The sequence below is a fragment of the Homo sapiens genome, chromosome 8 (assembly GCF_000001405.40).
Source record: "Homo sapiens chromosome 8, GRCh38.p14 Primary Assembly".
NCBI lineage: Eukaryota > Metazoa > Chordata > Mammalia > Primates > Hominidae > Homo > Homo sapiens.
The window spans coordinates 64,365,149-64,388,412 of NC_000008.11; the positions used below are offsets into that span (position 1 = coordinate 64,365,149).

Here is a 23,264-nt window from a genome sequence, read left to right on the forward strand (position 1 = left end):
CTGAATACTTCCTTTTCAACATATAACAAACATCCATGAACCTCTGGGATTTAAATAGTTTAACACACACACTCATCTTTGGAGCTTTTGTGAAATTCTCTAGAATACTCTGCTTTGTCACAAGTGGTTATATAAGCAGATAGGCTTTCTGGGTGAAAAATTGATGTCTAAGCCAAAATGGATTTCACAACATATGTACCAAAATGCAATTAGTTAAAGGAAATATTGAACTAAGAACTACAGGAAATAATTTTAAGGGAAAAGTTTCATTCAGAAGTTTGATTTTCTTTTGTTTCCAAAAAATGAGATGTTTTATTACGGTATATATAGAAATACATTAGGGGCATTTAAATGCAATATATGTTAAACCTAATGAAAATTTTTGATTAAAAATTACTTTTGGTATACTCATGAAGTATTTAAATGAAAGAATCAAATAAACGTATATCATGTGAGGTTCTAATTTTCTAAATATAACTTTGAGTCTCTAGTGAGCTGAAAGTTTATAAATAAATAAGTGCTAGGCTGAGTCGCTCCACATAAGTCTTAGATCTATACAAGTAACCAGAATTCTCTGGCAACAGGCAGATCATGGGGGGCAAGTCAAATTTCTATCAGTTTCTTTTTACCTTCATTCCATCATGAAAAACAACACTAGTTTACTTTTAGATAAGACAGAAAGTAGTATGTATTAAGGCAACATTCAGCAGAGTTTACATTTAAACTTCATAATAACCTATTTCTACTGTATTTTGTCAGATCGTGTTCATATAAATTCAAACTGAATTTGACAAATTCTGTCAAGAGGGAAAAAAGGTCTGAATTATATGTATCTGCCAGGAAGAAACATAAATGCAAAAACTGAAATGTTTCCAGATAAATTCCCCAGACTGTATATACTTTTCATTTTGTAATCATATGTTTTGTAATCTCAACTTCATTTGGATAAAGATGCACAAATTTTAGCAAGATATTTGTTACCTTCTGTAGTGGAGATTTATTAAAATGTATCTTTTTTTTGAAAAAAGAATAAATCTGTCCAGGTGGCTTTTTTAAGGTAAAAAAAAAATTCCAGAATATACATGATTTGCATACCTATGAAGTAATTTTTGTGATGTGCTAAATCTGTCGTAAAATTTTTAGGTTTCTGTTAGAGATGTAAATATTTTCTTTAAAAATACAAGTATGTATGTATTGTCCCAGAAAAAAAGTACTTGGGAATAACAATGATTTCATAAAGATTTAACAAATTTAACCAAATTTAACAAATATTGCTTCCATGGTAAATAATATCAACAAATAACATTTCTCTATTTTAAACATTTGCTGAATATAATGTTTATGTATTATTCTTTCTCCTTTGAATAATGTGGAAGGTATTCCAATTTCCATACAAATTCACTGGAATATTTAAGGAAATGTTATTGCAATGCTATTTACTTAGTTTCTTAGCAAAAGAAAAAGAGAGAGAGAGAGAAGCAGAAGAGGAGGAGGAGGAAGAAGAAAAAGAAAGAAAGTATTTAGAGTCTTTAAGTGTGCTGAAATGGTGTGCTGTGCAATGATATATGTACACATTCAATGTATTACATATTATTTTAAAGCTTTTATCTATTTATTTGATAAAACTTAATCAGAGATATTCTGTGAAAGACAAGTCCCATTTAGTAGGTACCTTTAGTTTACAAATAAACATGTATATACAAATGGAATATTGCCTCCTTTAAGCAAATTAGGAAGTCAACCAAAATAGCAAAAGGAAAAACATGACATAAAATTGTCATGTCCCCCAAATGAATTTGTTGAATGAATACATTGTGTGTATCCACACTCTAAATGCTTTTCTGAAACAGTAGAGCTCTCCATAGCAAATATGTTTTTTAAAGCATAATCTTGTGAAAACAGTGCATGTTAGGTGACACACTGGTATGTAGTAAACAGATAACTACTTGTTTTCTGAATAATCTTACTTGCTCATTTGGGAAACAATTCATAGAAGAAATATTCATTGTTCTTATGCATAAACTTTAAAAATAATTTACCACAATTGGCCAAATTATTTTCAAAGTATAAACAGATAGACAAGAATACTAAACTTTCCCCTGCCTACATTTGAGAGTTTGTCAGCAGTCAACTCCAAGGCCTTTAATCCCAGGCTTTAAATAATTCAGATAACACTTGATTACTCCATTGCAAGAACCCTTGAGCTCTGCAAAATCTGAGTAACACAATATTTTCCACATTAAAAAAAGGCCAATCTTAAATAGTAGGCATCAGACCAAAGTATGCAACTCATTTTTGCATTTACTACATAAACTCTGGTAAATATCAGTGTAGTTTGCTACCAAGTAATTCTGCATTCTTGCTTTCATTACCAAGCCCTCTAGTTCTACAGCTTAATTTGCTCAACTCAGAATCCCCCATCCATACTTGTTCTGGTTTTAAAGGCTTCTTTGAATCATAACAAGTAAAATGGTTAGTTATGTTACTCAGAAACTCAAAAGTGTACACAAACGAAAATTTAAACTTAAAAGAATACTGTTTTGACATTCATTTCTATTTCTTTAGGAAAATCATTGTTTTATATCTTTTGACAACCAAGATTCAATAACTGCTGCCTCCGTTACTTGTAAACATCAGCCATTACAAAAGAGCTTTGCTCACTTGGCTAAATTACAACCTGAGTAATGTGAAACAGACAGAATAACCAAGAAATATTGGCTTCCAACCCCAAATCAAAAAGCAACAAAATTTTGCCATCAAAAATGTCTAGCTGAGTTCTAAATGGATTAAACTCATCCATAAAACTGACGTAGGTAGCACTTCACTTTGATGTATAGTAGGGTCCATATATGTCTGAGCATGTGTTCATAATTATCATGTAACCAGATAAATAAAAGACACAAAATTAGGTTACAAACATCAAATAAGCTCTGTAAAAATTATCAAAGTTGAGCAAAGAACCCACTGACTTTAGTGGTATGGAACATTTTTAATCAATTTCTTCTCTCAAAGTAAACTCATCATATCCTTTCCCCTCAATCCTTGTCTGAGCATAGGAATAATCAATTTCTCTTCACTCTAGCAAGCAAGTTTAGTTTTTTCATATATCTGGCCTGAAACAACATGAAGTAGAAAATCTACAGATTGCATTCAGTATCACCAATAAGTACCGCATTTGACTACTGCTCATACCATTTGGAAACCAGTCCTCACATGACGACTGGCCTGACACCTCATCCATCAGCAGGGTGCCCAGAGCAGAGTTGGACAGTCTTCCTTGCTCCATCTCCAGAGGGGAGGCCCAGTTGGGAAACAGGATTCTCTTCCAATAGCAATTAGATCTTTAAGATCAGGCCTCAGCAACATGACCTAAAGCCATCCTTTCTTGCAACAAAGTCTCCAGCATCTTCAGAGGAAGAGACCGGGAGTGAGGCAAATGAGGAGAAATCCAGGTCTCCGTGGCCTGATTAGAAACTTTGTTGTGTCAAATAAACTTTGGCCACTGGAGGAAAGTACCCCATGGTTGCTCTGGCTTTAGAAAGATCTGTCCAGGGCTTCTCAATCTTCTTTTCACCCCTCTCTCTCTCACTCCCTCTCTCTCTCCCCTCTTCTCTTGTTTCAAAAGGGGCCTCTGGTCAGCGCTGATTAATAAGTGTTTTTTGTTGTGAAGTGTTGAATAATAGAGGATGGCCGGTGACCCAGTAAGGACTAAACCTTGCGCTGGTTTATTGTGGCAAGCTGAGAAAGGGGCTTTAGGCCCGGGACCCCAGGCACTGACCCGCACACATCCCGCGGATCGCCTATTCATTCGCACAGCCCTCCAGTCGCCCAGGCTCCCATTGTTTGCTGAGCAACAATGGAGATTTCGCAGGGAAAGTAAAGCTCTTTTCAGATTCCTCTCTGATGTTTTGCATTTAGGGAAACACCGACCTCCACTTTTTCCCCCGACATTTTCCCTCCTGGCATTTAAAGCTGTTCGTTTTCGGGGAAACTTCTGTGAGTTTCGCGCTTGTTCGACCAACACCAGTGTTAGGAGGAGGCGAGACCGGTGGAAAAAGGAGAGCCCCAGAGATTTCCCGTGTGTGTGTGTGTGTGTGTGTGTGTGTGTGTGTGTGTGTGTGTGTGTAATGCATTTAGAGGACGGGAGCTGCCTCTAGGGAGAAAGGGGAGGGGGGAGGGGAGAAGAAAAAGGAAAGAGCGCGTTTCCTCGCCGGGGTTACCGGGGTGGCGCGGGCTTCGCGGCCGAGGGGCTGCCGGCCCGGCCCGCAGCTCCTCGCGGCCGGCTGGGAAGTGGCGGGTCCGGCTAGTCCGCGGGCGGGCGGAGCGCGCCGTCGCTGCCAGTGTCCCCCTTTAACATTCCTTCCCCGAGCCTTTCCCTGCTCCTCCGCTCTCCGAGCCCGGGGCGGCCCCGCAGACACCAGCGCCTCTATCCTGCGCTCCTTGGCGTACGCAGCCGGGCGAGGTCGCGGCGGGAATGGGCGCCGAGGCCCTGCCCGCCAGGGCCGCATCTGCGGCCCGAGACTTACTTCTGCTTTGCTTTCCTGCACCTGGCCCGGGGCAGGCTTTCTAGTTTCTGCCTCGGCCAGAGGAGCCGACTTCCGCAGGACGGGCTTGGGGCAGGGGGTGCCGGTGGGGGCAGCGGGGCGAGGCGAGGTCGCAGGGAGACGACCAGGCCTGCTTGGGCCTGGGCCGCTCCAGCCGCCTCGCCTCTTCAGGGACCTCGCCCCGGGACCACCCGAGCGGACCCACAGCTTCTGAGGAAACAGCTGCCTCGGGCCTAAGGGTCTTTGCTTTCCCCCAACGCATGCAAGCGTGGGTCGCCAGCCCAGCATGTCTGGCGTGGAGGCCGGAGGAGGGTGGGGAGCTGGCGGTGCCCTATGGCCAGACGAGTAAAAGTCGGTTAGTGTTTTATGCGCCTGGGGGAGGCGAAGGGCGCGGGCTTGCGGGGCCCGGGCTGCGAGTATTGGGAGGGGGCGCCTCGTGAGGCCGTGCGAGGCCGCCCTCCCCGGCAGGCCTCGTCCACGCCCTTGTGGCCTCCCAGACCCGCTGCGCTTTGGCTAGGCGTCCCTACGCGCCTCCACCTTCTCCAGGTGCACGCCTGGGCGCGGAGCTAGGCTGAGCCCCCAGCGAGGGGCGTGGGGCGAGGGGCGAGGGGCGAGGGCGTGGGCGCCACGCAGGCCGCGGAGCCTGGTGGGCGGCGTGAAGCGTGCACTGCGCCTGCCTGCCCGGTCCCAGCCTGCCGCCCAGAGCTCCCCGACCAAGCCTTGACAGCTCTCGGAGCAGCGAGAAGAAGAAGAGGAGGAAGGACACAAAGAGGAGGAGGCGGCGGCGGGCGGCGAACTGAGGGCAGCTCAGGGGGAGGAGGACTCATTGTCCGGTCCCCCCAGTCCAATTGATATGCTAATCTCTTTTCTGATGCCACAACAAAGAACACCTTTGCACTTTTAAAAGACTTTTGTGCCCTGGCTACAGAAGTTTATTATCCACTAATTAGCAACAACTTCTGGCAACGAGTTGGGTTACATTTTCATAAGTTCCAGGCCTGAGCGACGAGGTGCGCAGGGCAGGAGGAGGTTTGAGAGCAGGGCAAACCCGAAACCTGGCGCTAGAAAGGAATCACCCGCTCACTTTCCTAGGCATAGGGCGCCAGGCGGGGATCGAAAGCGAAAAGTGTCCGGAAAAAGGTTCTTAAGGCTGGGGATGGGGTGAGGTGGGGTGGAGTTGATCGATTTGGGCCCAGGGTGGCTGATGACCTTATTGGACCCGATTCTGTGATCCCCATCCCGAGAGCTGCACGGAGGCGGAGACTGTGGCTGCCGTGCAGGTGTCCCGGCCCAGCCATCTGTATGGGGTGGGGGTGGGGTGAAAGTCTTGGACTAATGGTGGGGTGCTTGCCTGTGATCTCTCTCACGTTTTCCTTTGAGGCCTCCACTCGGAATAAGCCGCCGGCGAGGGAGCGGCCCATTCGTGGGAAACGCGCCCACCGCTTGGGTTCTTTCCTAAGGCCTCCCCACCAACAAGGCTGAAATTCCAAGGCCCTGGAAGATGAGGCAAAGCTAGCATTGCCAGAGTCGGGGGAGAGGGGAGGATGCTGGGTAAAGTGCCCACCCGGGGTGGTCTAAAGTCGTCACCCCACAGAGCAGATTCTGCTGCTAACCAGAGCAGAGAGCCGCACCTTCCCAGCGGCGGGCCCCAGTGCGCACAGCGTGACTTTGCCTCCCCCAGGCTCAGCAAGTCGTTGACGATCTTTAGCAGTCCCGCATCCCAGGTCAATAAACTGGAAACGGATAGAATGAGAATCATGGATGAGAGATAAAGGGCAGCGGGGTGATGCGCATTTCTTGTAGTGCCTCCAAAAAACCGTGGTCTCTCGCCGCTAATAAAACACCCTTGTGGTGAGGCCTTTGGTCTGGTCTCAACTGCAGAGATGTTTTGTCTTAGGTAATTCGAGCCCCCAAATCCAGCACCTTGGGATTATATTATACACACACTTATATTCTTTCTGTATTTTTTAAAATTCTTCTTTCATTTTTGGTTTGCTGCTTTTTGCAAACGACCCGGTTGGAGATATTGTTGGATATTTCAAGCAGATGTCAGGTGGGTGTTGGCGGCCTGTGAGTCCTCCTGCAGTAGCAGCAGCAGCCAAGTACGGTTTGATAAATGCTCAAGGTGAAATGTGGCCTTACTCAAAACCCCAGGGTGATTTAGGGTAGAAGAGCGAATATTCAGAGGCGGGAAGTGGTGAGTTATATTGTTACATTCCCTTTCGATGGAACTAAATGCGGTTATCTGCGGTCCTAACCTCTCTCGCATCGGAGTGCAATGTTTCTGAACAAGCTCTGTTAGAACTGGAAAATGGGAGGGGGTGAGGGAGCCCACTGACGACTTAACGGAATCTTACTGAAGAAAATACAAAGATAACCGAGATATTCATGATATTACATCTCATGATCTTCCAGACAAGCGTCTCTCCGGAACAAGAAAATATTCCCAAATTTCTCCCTAGCAGTGGCCTTGGGTGGAGTGAGGGAGGAGGTGGGTGGTGAGTGTAGAGAAGAGAAGGTCTCTCTCTGTTGTCACCCTCAGCCCCCTTCATTGAGGAGGAACAATGGCCAGGCCTGGAGTTCTTCCTGAAAGAGAAACTGCAGGAAGGCAGAGTTGCTCTTTGTACCCCAGCCCCTTTAGAGGAGGGGGAGTCATACACAGGATCCCCCTGACCACTGGGCGGTGTCCGGGAGATCAGAACCCCTCAGATACTCTGGGAGCTAAAAAGGCGCCGCCCTGTCCTCCCAGAAGTCCCACGCAGTCGCTGGAAGAAACCCAAGCAAAACCCAGCGACCTCAAAATTCGCCAGGGGGATAAGCGGGGAGAGGAAAACCACTCACTCTCACATGCCCTGTCAGTCCCCCCACGCCACCATCCCAATGTCTGATCAGGCTTGATTCTGCTGACGTGTGTATTTCAGATTAAGGATGTATTTATTTATTTATTTATTTATTTAATCCTTCAGATCTTCCCACCCCATAAAAGAGACTTAATTCCTTTCCAGGGCGACGGGTTGATAAAAGGCTCCATTTTAAAGCAATGGGGGAATCATATGACTGTGACCTTGACATGTGAAAGGGGGGAGGGGCAGGTAGTTTGGGGCCCAGACCTTAGGCCTCTGCAATTCTGGGGCGTTCTAGGCCCTTGATAAGAACATCAACAAGAGGGATTTATTTTCAAAGGTTACCATTAGCAGTTCATTCACTAAAGTTGAGAATTCGGTATTTTTATATTACGTGAAATACATGATTTAATTATACTCCAAAAACAAATTAAGGACAGGCCTTCTACACAAATTGGAGGCAGCTAAATGCTCTTTTGTGCCTGCAGCCCTCGGGTTGTTAAAGAGGCTGCTGATGCATGAGAAGTAAGTGACTGATTTAACTCATTGGGATGCAGGAAGCGACCTGCCCTCTTTTGAAAAAAAGCGAGAGAGAGAGAGAGAGAGAAAGAGAGAGAGAGACTTCGAGCTTGAGAGAGGGAGGGGAGAGGAGAGGAGGGAGAAGGAAATGACAGAGAGAGAGAGAGAAAGGAGAGAGAGAACGCAGAGGGAGGGAGGCAGGGAGGGAGACCAAACCCCCGCTTTACTGCGTTGAAAGCTTCTGAATTTCAAGCAGAAAGTAGAAGGAGCTCCAAAGGCAGTGAGCGTCTTTCCTTGGGCTGCGTGTGCCGAGCGTAGACAATGAAAATCTTCATCCCCCTCCCCCATTCTACTAGGCTACAAGATTCTTGTTTTCGTTCCTTCTCACCGGTGGAAGATGTGTAAAATCAAAGATGTAGAGGTGTGTAGTGATTTTTTTAAAAGCCAACTAACCACCGCACGGACTGCGACGCGGATTACCCGAGCGCACGCCGGCTGTAAGTACCATCCTTTCCTGCGGTAGCCGGGCTCTGCGTCCCCGGCTGGGCTGGGAGTGTTCGCTTTGTGAATCGGGTTGTTGCTTGTGTTTTGGTGTTTTGGTTCACAGGGGCTTCTTCGAAGCTTACACTTTTCGCACGTGAGCGGGAGAAGCGTTTCGCCGGTTGTGGGCGTGCAGAACACGATCCTGGTTGACTTTGATGCGGTGACTTGGGGTGGCGGGCGGGGGGCGGCGGGAGGCGCGGAGTCGAGGAGTTCCCGCGTCGCGAGCATGCTTGAGAGCCGCCGGCTCAGCTCCGGGCTGTAAGGTTGGTTCCTGGCAATGGATGGAAATCAGGTCACAGAGATCCCTAAGCTTGCCAGGCTCTCAGACACGCTTGGGAGACAGAATGGAATTGGAAGGAGGGATCTGAAGAGGAGGGAGGGGATCCGTGTTCCCCCACCCCGGGCCTAGAATGGAGCCCCGGCCAGCCGCGGGCCGGGCCCCTTGGTTTTCAGGACTTATTCTTGCCGGGGTTGGCTCGCACGCCAGCATCGCGCCTTCGGTGCGTCTTTTATCTCCATCTCAAATATGGGATCTTCTTGGGACGAGGACTGAATGAGGGTGGGAGAGAGGGTGTGTCTCACGGCGCCCAGGAGGGAGAAATTGTGGTTCTGAGAAGGTATTTTTTGGCCTCTTGAAAATGTGCAAGAATTCCGCGGGCCCAGGCTTTCTTTGTGTGGCGGGCAGCGCCAAGCGCTTTGTGCTTCACAAGGAGAAAATGGCGAGTCCTATTGTGTTTAGGCCATTTTCTTCCGGTACTAGGATTTTCCCAAGTTCGAAATACTTCTTGAGAAAGTAGCCTTCTCGTGCCCAAGAAAGTGTGAATCGCTGAGGCTCGGCCCCATGGCCTGGCGTGGGTGCTGACCTCAGTTTAAAACCAAGGGCCTGTTTTCTTACCGTTGGGGTACTTGTATCAAAGCACAGATATGACCGGTTTGTGCGGATCGGTGTCCTCCAAAGATCAACAGCGGCTCTTGGGGTTTGGAAAAATAAGTGTCTATTTATATATGCATATATACATATATATAAAAAACATATTTTTCCTGACAATGTGAAGGAGAAAATAAAAAACGAAGGACAATTACGTTTTTGAAAGAGGGAATATTTCTTTCCCTTTCTCCTTTCTCACGCTCGAGGAAACCCCAGGAGATGTTAAATGTTACTCTGCCGGGTCAGTCTCTTATTTTTTAAACTGAAGATGAAATGCTATTTTGGCTAGAAGAATTATTCCGCATCTTAGCCACTGGAACATATGCTTTGCTACAAAAAAAGTGTAAGGTGTTAGAGATGGATTTAGTTTAATGCTCTTAGCGTGTGTGTGTGTGTGTGTGTGTGTGCTATCTATATGCCTCTATATAGTGATGTAAATATGGAGAGAGAGATGATTGAAAAGGTTGTTTAGCTTTTGCCCCTGAATTTGTCATTTTTGTAATTTTTCTGCACTTGTTAAACCATATGTAAAAGTGGACAAGGATTCCTGTACAACAATGTCTATGTCTCTTTTGAAAACCGCCAAAAAAGTATTGCAGGTTGAAAGATATTATTTCCTGTTTACTACAATTATTTGGATCTTTAAATGGAGTGGTGGTTTTGTGAGCTCAAAAATAATGAAATGCAAACTATCTGCTTCCTGTACATTCAATTTGGTGGCAAATATAGAAAAATGAGAACAACTGGGATGAGGAAGAGAACCTAAAGCCTATAGCATTTCCCCCTTTTGCTATCATTTTAAATGCTAGGGAGTCTAATTTGTGCAGAAGCATTGTGACTTTCATTTTTCAAAAGGTAACACTAGCATGTCCTTTCATGTGGATCAAGACCATGGACAGCGAACTAATATTAAATCACTGAGCAAAAAAGGACTCTAATAAAATTTTGAGACCTGAGTGAAAGTTTACATTCAAAGCATGTTAGAAGTCAAAAATAATCTTTATGGTCTTTAAAAGGAATTAGACTGGTAAAATGTGGCATTTCAAACTTATTCTACCAAGTTTCAAAGAAACAATGATTATGTGTTCAGTTTTTACCCTGCCTCAAATAGTATATATTACTTATCCAATTAAAATAAGATAAAGCCCACCTTTTGGTACTGGTAAATATAAAATTTAAAACTATCAGTTTTAGATGTAGAACGTTTTTTATAAGGCCTTGAAACAGAATGGGGATGGAGAAATTTTACTATTTTAGACTGGCATTGGCTGAATGACACTACAGAAAATTAAATTGATTTTTATCAGTGAATGAATTTCTAAATGCATAAAATTGGGAAAATTAAATGCCACTTTGATAGACAGGAATAATATGAATGGAGATATAATCCGGCTATTCCTTCTACTCCCGTGTAGGCATTGTACTCTATAACTGACAGTGCAATGTTGTGAGCAAGCATTTATTTTTTTTCCAAGAAAGTCACAGATTTTTTCATATATACTGATTAGATTTGGGACACAGGATTGGTTCAGTGTGGGTCTGTGCTGGAGATCAGCTTATTTTGTTTTATACATTGTTTGAATAGTCTTTACTCCTTTACAGAATTAAAATTCATTTAAAACCATTTCATTTGTGGATTACATAACTTATTCAAAATTGCTCATTTAAATTTCCAGTTTGATGTGTCTTTTAGCTTATTTCATAACCTGACTTTAGTGTGACCTGTAAAGGCCTGGAAAATCATATAAAGCAAAAACAATATGCAGGTTAGAAGAATTAAAATAGTTCATAATTAAAATTAAGTTAAAATTACATCATTTAAAAGGACCTTGGAGTTTATAAATAAATTAATTTTTGATCTTTATTCATCAGATTTGGCTATAAAATGAAACTGCAGTTCTTTGAATGTGCAGGTTGCTGGAATTAGATGCTACATATATTTTGAACACACATACTTATTTTAATATTTTAGTTTTAGACAACGTATTCAAAGTACTTGAGAAGAATATGCAATGACATTTTTTCCGTGTCCTAATCAGGACCATGGTGAGGTCCCCGTGGTTCACCGAGTGGTGGTCCAGGGCTCTGGTTGGGACGCTGAGTTAGGTTGGCAAAGCGTCATTGTTTTGAAAGGCACATTCGTCCGGAATGGCATTCGTGATAAGATTAAACATAAACCTAAACCTTGGCCTCGGGGGAAGGCAGGCTGCGGGGTTGAGAAGAGGAGATGCAGATTAGCTCTGCTTTTGCTGCTTGCGCACATAATTAAGAGGCGGTCCCTCAGCTGGAGCGTGGGCTGTGTCCGGCCTAAGGTGCTTATTTTCCTGTTACTTGGCCAACCGAGTGTGAGTGAACAGGAGCCCGAGAGCTTAAATGTGGGATCTAGATAAGGTGTCGACTGGGTTGTGGGCGTTTGTCTCCATGTTAGGGAGAGGCAACTGAGAACGGTGACTTTGGCTTGTTTTGAGAGAGCCTGGGTTTTGACAGCAGGACGGCGAAGGGAGCGCTTGGAGAGGCTGGAAGCTCGACGTCTTAGGGAGCTGCCTGCGGGCACTGGGTTGACGCCAAGAGGTTGTCGGCAAGGGCAGGGCTCTTGCCCTCTGCTGTACCTAGGCTCTGCAACTGGGGGCTGCGAGCCTTCTGCGGCTCTTTGGTTTCAAGGACACAGCGAGCTGCTCAGGACTTTGGGAGCCAACATCTGTCTGACTGGTGACGTCAGCAGCCCGTGTAATCCTCTTGTGCTGAAGGCAGATGCCTTATTTGTTTGGCTGGAGCGAGCCATTAATCCCTAATTCTGGATCAGCAAGCGAGGGGGAAAGACCGGACCGCTCCGACCCACCCCCTCCCTACCCCCACCTCCCACCTTAAAGCACCTTATACCACGGAAGGCTCTCAGCCTCTTCTTTCCTCTGCGAACGCGCTGAGCAGCGATTGAAAACGTTTTGGTCCTCTGCAGGTTTGAACAGGGCTAGCAGGTCTCTCTCCGGATTTCTAGGGCTATGGGTATATGTAATTCTTTCTCTCATCGATCGTTTCGATTCTCTTGCCGGTCTTGCAGTTTGCAGGGTCCTAAACGAAGAGGGGTGGAGATTCGAGAGTGCGGGTCTGGCGTGTGGTCCAAGGGAGGGGGTGAGGCTGGGAAAGGGGGTGCAGAATGCGGGAACGGCTGGGACTGCACAGAAGGACCATCTGCGGACTCGTTTTCACTGCTCCAGCTCCCGAAATCGTTTCTCTGGACGCGGCAGTATCCGCAGCGCATGCACCCTCCTCTGGACTTCCGCAGCCCAGACCTGCGCTTACAGTCATCGCGCCACCCCCTCCCCCCGGGCTGCGGGCCCCGCGCTCCGTGGGCTCAGGGTCCCCTCCGCGTCCCCCTGAAGCCTGGGGACGGAGGTCGCGACCGGCCGACTGGGGTCCTGTCCTCTTGTCACCTTGTATCCCTCGCATGCTCCCTCCCGCCTCGTGTCCCTCTCCCCACCCTCCCCCTCCTCTCTCCCGCCTCCCTAACACTGCGCTTTGATTCTGTTTTTCAGGGGCGCATTCTGGGGTCTCTGCGCAAGACCAGCTCTCAGCTCTCTCTCCTTTCCTCGGACTCTGGAGCGGGAGCGGGCCTTTCCCTCGGGTCGACCACGCCGTAGGGGACGCCGTGAAAAGAGCCGTCGCGCCCGCTGCCTCCTGCCCGCTGCGCAGAGGGCTCCGCCCGTAGAGGTCAACTTCCCTCACCCTTTTCTCTCTCCTGCTTGCCCTCCCTCCGCCCGGCCCAGGCGCTTCCAGCCCCAGACTGTGGCCACTGGCTGAGGAGTGCGAGTCGGCTGCGCTGCCCTGAGCCTAATCCCTCTTCCGGGCCCAGACCCGAGGTCCGCGCTCCTGGGCAGTGGGGAAGCTTTAGTGAGCAGGCTTTTCTCTCCGCAGCAAACTTGTAGCCAGACCAGATGGGCCGCCCAGCTCTCTCGGGACTAGGCAGGTGCGGATGAGTTAATTTTTCCGCATTACAAAGAAAGATGACCCAGCCCGCCCTTGGACTCTCTTTTCCCAAAATCTCCCAACCAAACCCGCGGTAACGTTATCAAAGGACACAGAGCCCAGGCATATCTGTGTGTTTATCTTACAGGCACACACGCATGGTTTTCTCTTTTATATGCTAGATTTCATCCCTGACAGCAGAAAATGATTGGCAATGGTTATGACGGAGAACATGCAATAGCGTGGTCCTTAAAAACCTGCCATTCCTTACAAGTGCCTTAGAAAGGATTCAGGGCGAACCAACTGGGTTAATTGCATTCAGTAAAATAACACGATTACAAAATTAGATCTGTACCAGAGGGGTAATTAACTTGGATCCACGCCGTCATTTGAAAACTAGATTTATAGGCTTATGTATGTTTTTAGGCGTGTGCTGTAAATGGCATGGAGATATATGCATATGTATACGCAGGCACACGCACCGTCTACACTTCCACGGAACAGACTAATTAACAGCGGCTCTGGCAGATGTGTCAGAGATGAGCAGAGACAGGAGCTGGGCTTATGAGTTATGACTCTAGGGGTAGAGACTCAGAGCGGAGAGAGGGGGATGGGCAGGGAGAGAAGAGTGGTAATCGCAGTGGGTCTTATACTTTCCGGATCAAGATTAGAGGCTCTGCTCTCCGTGTTCACAGCGGACCTTGATTTAATGTCATACAATTAAGGCACGCGGTGAATGCCAAGAGCGGAGCCTACGGCTGCACTTGAAGGACACCAAAGCATCTCAGGGTCAGAAAGGGGAAAAAGCAATTGCAGGGAATTTAGGGGGTAGTAAAAGGAACCCATCTCTTGCCGCATAAATGCCCCCCACCCCCACCCAGGACTGATTCTGGAAGCAACCTAGTGTTCGAAAGGGAAAGGCTCCTACTTTTCCATTACAGCCGCGGAAATCCGCAGGCAAATCTCCGAGGAGAATTTTAGGGAAGCTTCATTGACAGCTGTCTGGAGAGCAGTAGTTCCCGCCTGTGCAAATATTCCAGAGAGTTAAATCATTTAGAAAGCACTAGTTCTTTCAAGAACAGGTAGTGTGATTGTCTGCAGTCCTGGGCCAAGCTGGGAAAACAAAACAGCAGAGAGAGGTGTAACATTAAATAGCGTCCTGACCACACTGCGCAAGAAACAGCAAATGAAACGTCCAAACTTTGGAAAGATCTGAAGAACACTTGCCGCCCGCATTTCCCCTTGACTTCTCCCTTTTTCTTCCCAATCTCGAGGCGTTCATGCCTGGCTTTAAGACGCCAAGATAACTCTCTTGTTTTGGCATTGTCGCAATGTCCAAATCGGTCAAAGGAGTGGGATAAGGTGAAAGGACCAGGTCAGAAACTTTAGAAGGACTCGGTAAATTAATTTGTTTGGAAGCCAGTGAGGTGGACTATGTTGAGGTAGCAGTTCCGCACCACGACTTTGGAGCCAAAGAAAAACCCAGGCCGAAAAAGCGAGCCTTGATGTCTTTGTTCTGCCTTGGCCTGCAGGGGTTGGGAACAAAGGAGAGGAGCTAAGAGGATGCACCAAAGTAGCCGCGCCCTCCCTGCCTGGCGCTGTCCGCGGTGCTGACCGTGGCCCTTTTCTCTCTCCGTAATCAAACTGGAAAAGCAATAGGACCGTCCCGTCCCTACTCAAAAGAAGAGTAGGATATTAGGTAATTTGAAAAATAACATTTAAAAAGAGAAAAAGGTCACATACAGCAAAACAATATTTTACTGAAATCGTTCCCTCAAGCTGGTTGCTACCCTTGCCTGACACTTTTTGGTCTTCACGTAGGAATGCACACATACATACATTGTAAGTGTATGGGGAAACCATTTCCACTTTATTTAGGCTGAAACCTAAATCGCAGGATTGCAAGAAGGAAATTGAGGAGAATGAAGGCTTTATTATTATCCTTTTCTTTCTTAAATCATCTTCCTTAAAACAGAAACATAAGGTCCTCAGCCGCGGATTTTAGTGCTTACTTGGTCACCAAAGGGACGTGCAATGGACTCAAGTGTGGGCCTCGAGGCTTAACTAGGAAGGGGTGGGTCGGGGACCCACCAGGTGAAACAGGGCAGGAGCCCATGCAGCTTGCCACCTTCGGCCAGGCCTTGCAGCCCGGCAGCCTTAGTAGACGGGTACAGAGGGCTGAGCTCTGCAGACCGCTCTGCTGCGCAGGAGCCTGCTCGGCGCATCCCAGCCGGCGGGAGGCACTGGAGGGCCAGGAGGCCTGAAACCCGCACTGCGGAAAAACCGACCTCAGCCACATCCTCATAGCTCACGCGACGGAAAGAGGCAGGGCGGTTTACTAAATCTTATGCAGTGAAAATTCGCCTTAGAAATCGAAGGTTGGATGAGTCAGTATTGATATATTCAAAAATCTAAATTTCTTAGCATATTTCATCGTTCTTAGATGTTGAAAGTATTAAATGTAAACAATACAAATTTAAATTCCCTAAGTAATGAATCAAAATGGCAAGGGAGAGAGAGAGAGAGAGAGACGGAAAATCAACCAATTCGTAGCCACCCTGGCTGGCTATTTCTCAAAAGAAATTTCTATGCATTTGCTTGAGTTTGTCTATAAATTCACAAACATAAAGGGTGTTAAAATTAGTAACAGACAAAATAATTCAGGTTGGACAATAGAGACAGCAACACCGATTTTGATCCAGGTATAACAATGGGCCATGCATTGACAATGACCTAAAAGACATGTGTTCATTAAGTTATTTTTTTTACACGGGATGTAGATGTATCATAAAATTCATGAAATAAAGCGGCCAGGTGCAATATCCTCAGAGAGCTGCCTTCTCACCCCCTGCCTCAGGGCGGATTTTATCTGTCCTCGAATTTTAGAACTCTGCAAGTCGGGTCTTTCACATTCATCGATTACTTTGGTTTATATTTAATTTTATCCAATTTCGGAGTGGGTGGGTAAAGCACACTGGAAAATAGGGGCTGCTCGAATTACAAAATTTAAGGATTGGGAATATTCCTCTTGTGCCAATTAAAAGCAGTCGTTGGAAGCAGAAATGAATTTAAAGCATTACACGTTATCATGGCGGCCTTGCTTTTTCCTTCCAGTATTCATCCAATTGCGCTGATCTCCTGCATCCACATCTTGCGTAATCCACAAAGCAGCTATGGTCCAGGGCTGCAAAATCGTCCTGCCTGATTCCTTTAGAATTCATACTACCTCAGAGGAGCAAACCTAATCCCCTCAGCCTAATCCTACCTGTTTAGGATCATCTAAACTTGTCCTTCAGAAAGCTTGATCAGTTTAAAATTGCTTTCTAAATAGAAATGAAATACGTGATATGAGAGAGGTTAAAATACTGCTTAAAAAGGGAAACACTCAATTTAGTAATTCGGTTGCCTAGATGAAATCGAGTGGCTATTGATCCGTGATGTTTCTAGATTTTTAAGACTATGTACTTCCTATTTCTTTGGAAAATAATCATCCAGTTTGATGCCCATTACAAATTTTCCTGCTATGAAAGAAATTCTATGCGCGGCAGTTTTGCAATAAAACAACCCGGGCTTCGCAATGGGAGAACTTCGGTGCGGCGTGCCGTGAGAGTCCTTTGACAATCTCAGCTTTCATCTAGGTCTGAAATTAAAGCTTCTCGGAATAATTTAGGAACAGCTTGACCCGTTGAGATACTCAAGGACAACCCTCCAGGGAAATAGTATGTTTCCTTCCTGGGAACAAGATGCTAGCGCGGTGCACCGGGAGGTATCTGGTGTCAACAATGCCAGAGCGCCCTCTGCTGCCTCAAAGAGGCAGGACACCAGTTACAAAAGCCAGATGGCACAGTGGCAATAAGCGGAGGAAACATTAAGCTCTTAGAAACGTTTAATCTGTGAAATTTAAAAGCTCTCATCATATTCTACTTTTGAAAGGGCCACCTGATTTTGATTTTGAGCACTCCTTGGATGTTATCTTCTATTCTGGAGGATAATGAAAAGTCCGTGTTTTGAAGTTTTCAGATTATTTCTGTAGTTATATTTCTCCACTCTTTCTCGAATTTTATATGGAAATACGAAATTGCAAATCTAAGTGAAAAACCTTTGTGTAAAACAGGTGAGTGGAGAAGACGTCCTGGTTTCTCCAAATAACTAAGATCTAATAAAGAAACAAATCTTAATTAAAATAAAGATACCGAGCACATGTTGTTGTGTTAGTTTAAAACGATAATAAAAAGAAAGAAATTAAGTCTCGATGTAAATCATTGTTTTGTTGTTTTGTTTCAGTGATTAACCCAAATTTTGACCAGACTTGAAGTTTTGAAATAAGAAAGTGAATTATTTTAAAGAAGAAGAAAAATTTGCTTCTTATTAATATGTACAATATTTTTGCCCTTAAAACCTTTGCAATACATTTATACACACACACTCAGCTTGCAAAGCCTTCTTTAGAAAATAACCCACTCTGAGTAGAAGTAATGAGATATGGTAGCAGCATGGGCAAAGCCATAAGAAACGTTATTTGCATTAAAAATGAGTTTTTCAGTATGGAAAATCAATTACCAAATGAAATAGAGATTTTTTTTAAAGGTTCAAACCTTTTCAAATTTTTATGTTATAGGGTTTATATTGATTAAAATAAATGTACGTTTGTAGTTATTCAACATTATGAATTTCAAGATGGCCACCTATTTTGAAACGCACACCTTTGCCATGAAGTCTGTTGTTGCATATATTAGTGCTGATGTAATAAAATGCTTCTATTAACTATGTGGTTGTTAATAAATCTTGTAAAAATAAAGTTCTGTTTATTTTATGGTGTCAGAACAAAATAGCTGTTTAAAATCACTTATTTTAGTCTTAGCTTTTAAATCAAAATGCCTATAAGAATATTAAGTTCTAAGATTGTTGAGAATACTAAGATAAAATTAAAAATTGTATGATTTTACAATTTGCTATAATTTAAAAATCTTGTATTGATTAAATGTTAAATCAGGTTAAATATTTGACCAATTGTGTCAAGTTCCGTATAAATATGGGTACATTTGTCTTCTGAAAGCTATTTCTCCAAAGAATGCACTTACGAATGTATGGCATAATAAGTGAAAAAATGGTAGAACTTTTATGTTTTTATTTTAAGTATCCTTTTAAAAATTAAAAATATTTTTTTTCTTTTACTTAATTTAAATTTCTTCCTAAATAAGTGCATATTTTACCCAGGAGAAAATAAACAGAGTGACATAAATTTGCTATACTTCTTATAGTTACTATAATCAGTTAAAAAACAACTTCTAGGCAAATAAAATATATAATAAAATGTAAATTAAAATGTAAATAAAATGCAACAAATTCGTGGGTGGAAGACATGAACATGACTTTTTTCTATTTTAAAAACCATTTGATGTATTCTAAAAAAAGAAAAAGAAAAGAAAAACAGAAGAGAACCAACTAAAAGAGCTTCCCAGATGTCCAATAGATGCTGCCCGAAGTAAAACGCATACTCTAATATTTGTTATTCAAATTTGCATGTAAGGGTTTTTAACCTCCCTTTATTTTATACTTGTACAGGGTAACGTATTGTAACTGAAACACTCCTCCTAATTTATTCTGGCTGTGAAAAGCCTATGGAAACATTCACTTCCATAGGAGTAATATGTATCTAAACAGTATATTTAGGGAAAGCACTAATAGAACACAAACAACTAATTACTGATGCTTTTAAGGAGGAACCGCAACAATAATTGTGCACTGTCTTAGATAAAATTAATATAGAATTTAATATTTGTAGACCACAAAAAAGCCCTAATCGTGGACCGCAGATTAGAAAGAACAGGCTTTAGCACACTGTGTATCTTTGTAGTATTCAGACTCAGCTGCCACTGCGATTTCCATCAGCTGCTGTTAAGTAAATAATATACTATGGAAATATGACTGAGTAGGAATTGAAAATAAAATGCTTTAAGAAGGAATAAAATTGGGATGTCAAGAAATCAAAGTTGATTGTCTTTAAGATAGAAGGTTAGTAGTTACAAACTGCAGCGAAAATATATACATTGATGAGCAAATCTCCACGAAGTAAAAAGTTCAGATGTTGGATACTACCAAGGCAAAATAGAGTGAAATAGGAAGAAATTAAGTCTTTGAGACACATGTAGAAAGAACAAAGAAGCCTCTTGACTTCAATTTTGTTTTTAAAATTCCAGTAGAAGATGTTTATGCAGAGAAACCTTAAGGAATTCTTCATTGTCATGTCACAATTTTGATCTTGTTGAATTAAGAAAGACAGGGAAAAGTTGAAAAACAAATAAGCAAAATGTGAATTTACTATTGAACTCTTATGGGTTTGTAATGCAGAATTGTGTTTTTCCTTTCCTACTTGTTGGTCAGGTTCTTTTTAATCATAAGAAGGAAAATATTTAAAATATAATTTTATACATGGTACAATTGTCTCCCCTTAGCCTTGGCTCGCTTTCTGTGGTTTTAGTTACCCGCGGTCAACTGTGGTCTGAAAATATTAAATGGAAAATTCCAGAAATAGACTATTCATAAGTTTTAAAGTTTGTGCTGCTTTGAGCAGCATAATAAAATCTTGCACCACCCCACTTCATCCCACCCAGGATGTGAATCATCCTTTGTCCAGCATCTCCATGCTATATGTAGCTACCCCTTAGTCACTTAGTAACCATCTTGATGATCACATCTACTGTTGCAGTAATATCACACAGCATCACTTATGTTCAAGCAACACTTGTTTTGCTTAAAATGACTGCAGAGTTCAAAAGTAGTGATGTTGGGAATTCAGATATGCCAAAGACAAGCCATAGGTACATCCTTTAAGAGAAAAGGCGAAAGTTCTCAAATTAATAAGGAAAGAAAAAATATTGCATACTGAGGTTGCTAAGATCTAGTGTAAGAATGGATCATCTATTAATGAATTTGAAAAGAATGAAAGGTAAATTTAGGCTAGTTTTGTTGTCACACTTCAAACTGTAAAAGTTACAGCCACGGTGCATAAGTGCTACTTAAAATGCAAAAGGCACTAAATTTGCTGTTGGAAGACATGAACAGAAACGTGTTCCGATTGACGACAATCAGATTCAGTGTTATCTGCAGTTTCAGGCATCCACTAGGGCTCATGGAATGCATCCTCTGCAGAGAAGTGGGGACTACTGTCTTAATAATAGAATGAATATAACATAGCTTATGCTGGGCAAAATATCTTTCTTCTGTTAATTTGTTTGAACAAAAAACAGTGACAAATGAAACAGAAACTTGGTTTAGGAGAGTGTTTCTTACTGATTTGAATGTTCTAAGTAGTAGTGACAATGTACTTACATTGGCAGGATTCTTAACTTGAACTCAGTCACAATGCTTCTCAGGAATTCCCTATACTCGTGTTAACTGTGAAGAGTGGGAGTTCCAGGCCAAAACGATAAGGACTATGTACCTCAGGCAAGGTCAATTTAAAGGTTACAAAGTTTGGGTTGCTATGAAAACATTAAATAGAGAAAGGTGTTCCCTTGCCGAGAGCTATGTAGTGCCAGTTTTCCAAATCAGAGGAACTTCTCTCTTCCCTGGACATCCTTGACCTGACTCTACTCTCTCGATTCCCAGAATTCGGGTATAGTAGTTATGTTGTTTTCATTGTCCTGATGATATCAGATAAGTAGATTGGTTACAAGAACTCCAAGGATGCATTCTTCAATATGTGATTTTACAACCTGGTATATTTAAAGAAAGGGGCTTTGATTCAATGACAGGGTTATTTTTACCTAGCTTTTCAACTCAGAAAGCACAGATACTTATAAATGCCCACTAAGCATCAGGAAGTTGTGTTAGTTGGATGAGAGAATGAGGGGTGTGGTGTATGTGTATATAAATACATGTATATGGAAAGGAATATCTATATTAGACATCACAGTTAACATTTAAAACATGGTTGTGAAAAAAAATAAAACCAACAGTAGCTATGGCTTGGACTTACCTCTTTTGCAGTTATCTTCCTATTATTAGATAATCTACTTGGTAAAATTGCATGGTACAAGAGGATTATTAATAAATAATCATTAAAAATGGCTAGTTCATTCAGACTATTCTCCATACTCCTGCTGTTGTTATTGCAATAACTTTCCAAATTTTCTAAATCCATGAATACCCTTTCAATGAATATAATTTTTCTACATTATCTTCCTACCTCTCTCTCTCTCTGCTTTTATCTTAATTGATAATGAAACCCAGTAAGGTAAGTGATTATTTAGACCAATAACATTGAACAAATCAATCATTCCTAAATGTAGGACCCAAACTTATATCACAGAATTGTGTGTGTGTGTGTGTGTGTGTGTGTGTGTGTATGGACTTGAATTGATTTTTATTTTAACCTCCACTTCTTTTCGTAGTAAACAACTTCTCTCAGATTTCCAAAGATAAAAACATAGATTCATTCATTCATTTATTCACTGTTTGAGTGCTTAGTAGGTGCCAGGCTCTGTTCTTTGTGTTAAATATTCAAAGGTGAATGAAATTCATGCGATTTCTATTCTTATGGAGCTTATGCTTTCTCAGTGTTAAATTTTCTATTCTCCTGAACTTACTTTCTATAATTCATGTCTTTTTATCTTTAAGTGCTTCCATGTCACTAATGAGAGTTTTCCTCATGAGAAGAACAGATTTGTATTTTGCTATTCTGGGATAAACAAGACCAATATATTTACATTTTTCTTACAGATGCACATCCTTATCTATTTGGAAACAATGAATGCTTTTTGCTATTCTCTTTCAAATTTAAAGATCAATTGAGTAAAATATTAATATATGCTGATGTAATGTTGACTGTAAAGTATTAGCTCCTGTCTCAATTGTGGTTTATTAGTCATGCTTGAATTTTGTGTTTATTGATTATAAATATTTACTTTTATTTTGTCATAGATTTTGATTTCAAATGTAATTTTTGCAACATAAATGCCCATTCAAACTCTGTAATTTGGTCCTTATCCTTAATTTATACATTCTAATAAGCCGTAGCTTTGTCCCTGTGATTTTTTTTCTGTTTGTTTACTTTCTTTTATTTTAATGAGTGATTTTTTCCAATTATCAAGATTCTTTTCAACTTACCATCATATTTTTCTATAGGACCTGAAATTTTCTTTTCAATTTACCATTGTATTTCTCTATAGGACCTGAAATTTAACTAACTTAGATCAATGAAATCATCAACTGGTTTTATTGGATTGATTAGTTGTACACAACAAATCTAATTTAGTTATTAAACTGGTCCTAATAACTAGACTCACTTCTTCATAACCTCATTATTTCAAATGTTTAAAATAAGCATCAAATCAACTGAACACTCAAAAGCCTATCCCAAAATATGCCCACAGATATAATTTCAAGTACTTTTTAAATTCATTTCATTAGCTGTGAAGGTTTTAGAGATTTCTGTCTTTACCAAAAACACAGTTTTAAATATCGCCCTCATTTATTGCTCATGACTGTTGGTCACCATCTTAGCCAAGTCTTTGAAAGTGGCTAGATGTCTCTGTCAGGCTTTTTTAGGCAATGGCAAGTGTCGTGTATAACAAAGAAGTTAAATATCTTTCCTGTAAGTTTTGATTACTTTACTTATCAAAAGCTCTGAGGATGAGGACTTCTCTAGCTTTGCAATGTAATTGGTGTAATATACAAATAATGTACTAACATTAGAGGCTGGAGATGTATAGACTGAACTTTGACTGAGTAATTTGGATTACTTTATTCCTTTCACTAGATTTTAGTTCTATGTGAGATCAATTAGTGATTCTCCATAATGTGCATTAAGCATCACCTGAGGGGGCTAGTTTATAAATTTAGGTTTTCAGGTCCTATCCTGGAAAATTCAGTTTCAGCAGGTCTCAAAACATTTAAACAAGCACCCCAGCTGGTTCGGAT

At 42.6% G+C, this 23,264-nt stretch overlaps 2 long non-coding RNA genes and 1 other non-coding gene across 6 annotated transcripts in view, besides 6 other annotated features; 2 read left to right on the top strand and 1 right to left on the bottom strand.

The window, feature by feature from the left end:
* The window catches only part of LINC01414 (long intergenic non-protein coding RNA 1414), a 511,616-nt gene extending 508,206 nt beyond the window's left edge, over window positions 1-3,410 (bottom strand). Inside the window, exon 1 of the long non-coding RNA NR_125826.1 lies at window positions 3,193-3,410. This is a non-coding gene — a long non-coding RNA (long intergenic non-protein coding RNA 1414). The remainder of the gene's footprint in view (window positions 1-3,192) is intronic.
* Window positions 3,613-4,114: an enhancer, noted in NCBI's record as "NANOG hESC enhancer chr8:65281318-65281819 (GRCh37/hg19 assembly coordinates)". NCBI's record gives its function as "activates a minimal SCP1, AML or CMV promoter by ChIP-STARR-seq in primed H9 embryonic stem cells {active_cell/tissue: H9 hESC(primed)}" and the evidence as "EXISTENCE:reporter gene assay evidence [ECO:0000049][PMID:30033119]".
* Window positions 4,931-5,456: an enhancer, noted in NCBI's record as "OCT4-NANOG-H3K27ac-H3K4me1 hESC enhancer chr8:65282636-65283161 (GRCh37/hg19 assembly coordinates)". NCBI's record gives its function as "activates a minimal SCP1, AML or CMV promoter by ChIP-STARR-seq in primed H9 embryonic stem cells {active_cell/tissue: H9 hESC(primed)}" and the evidence as "EXISTENCE:reporter gene assay evidence [ECO:0000049][PMID:30033119]".
* Window positions 5,457-5,983: an enhancer, noted in NCBI's record as "OCT4-NANOG-H3K27ac-H3K4me1 hESC enhancer chr8:65283162-65283688 (GRCh37/hg19 assembly coordinates)". NCBI's record gives its function as "activates a minimal SCP1, AML or CMV promoter by ChIP-STARR-seq in naive and primed H9 embryonic stem cells {active_cell/tissue: H9 hESC(naive and primed)}" and the evidence as "EXISTENCE:reporter gene assay evidence [ECO:0000049][PMID:30033119]".
* Window positions 5,984-6,508: an enhancer, noted in NCBI's record as "H3K4me1 hESC enhancer chr8:65283689-65284213 (GRCh37/hg19 assembly coordinates)". NCBI's record gives its function as "activates a minimal SCP1, AML or CMV promoter by ChIP-STARR-seq in primed H9 embryonic stem cells {active_cell/tissue: H9 hESC(primed)}" and the evidence as "EXISTENCE:reporter gene assay evidence [ECO:0000049][PMID:30033119]".
* Window positions 7,658-8,198: an enhancer, noted in NCBI's record as "NANOG hESC enhancer chr8:65285363-65285903 (GRCh37/hg19 assembly coordinates)". NCBI's record gives its function as "activates a minimal SCP1, AML or CMV promoter by ChIP-STARR-seq in primed H9 embryonic stem cells {active_cell/tissue: H9 hESC(primed)}" and the evidence as "EXISTENCE:reporter gene assay evidence [ECO:0000049][PMID:30033119]".
* On the top strand, window positions 8,070-22,356 carry MIR124-2HG (MIR124-2 host gene). Of its 4 annotated transcripts, NR_109792.1 has the most exons (3): window positions 8,180-8,403; window positions 12,911-13,341; window positions 16,455-22,356. It is a non-coding gene; the product is annotated as an MIR124-2 host gene (long non-coding RNA). The 4 variants fall into 4 exon arrangements; NR_034102.2 differs by lacking the exon at window positions 16,455-22,356 and having other exon boundaries at window positions 8,070-8,403; window positions 12,911-13,686; NR_034103.2 differs by lacking the exons at window positions 8,180-8,403; window positions 16,455-22,356 and adding an exon at window positions 12,179-12,333 and having other exon boundaries at window positions 12,911-13,686.
* Window positions 11,418-11,995: an enhancer, noted in NCBI's record as "H3K4me1 hESC enhancer chr8:65289123-65289700 (GRCh37/hg19 assembly coordinates)". NCBI's record gives its function as "activates a minimal SCP1, AML or CMV promoter by ChIP-STARR-seq in naive H9 embryonic stem cells {active_cell/tissue: H9 hESC(naive)}" and the evidence as "EXISTENCE:reporter gene assay evidence [ECO:0000049][PMID:30033119]".
* Window positions 14,001-14,109, top strand: MIR124-2 (microRNA 124-2). Its single transcript, NR_029669.1, has one exon. It is a non-coding gene; the product is annotated as a microRNA 124-2 (primary transcript).
* Window positions 22,357-23,264: the final 908 nt, after the last annotated feature.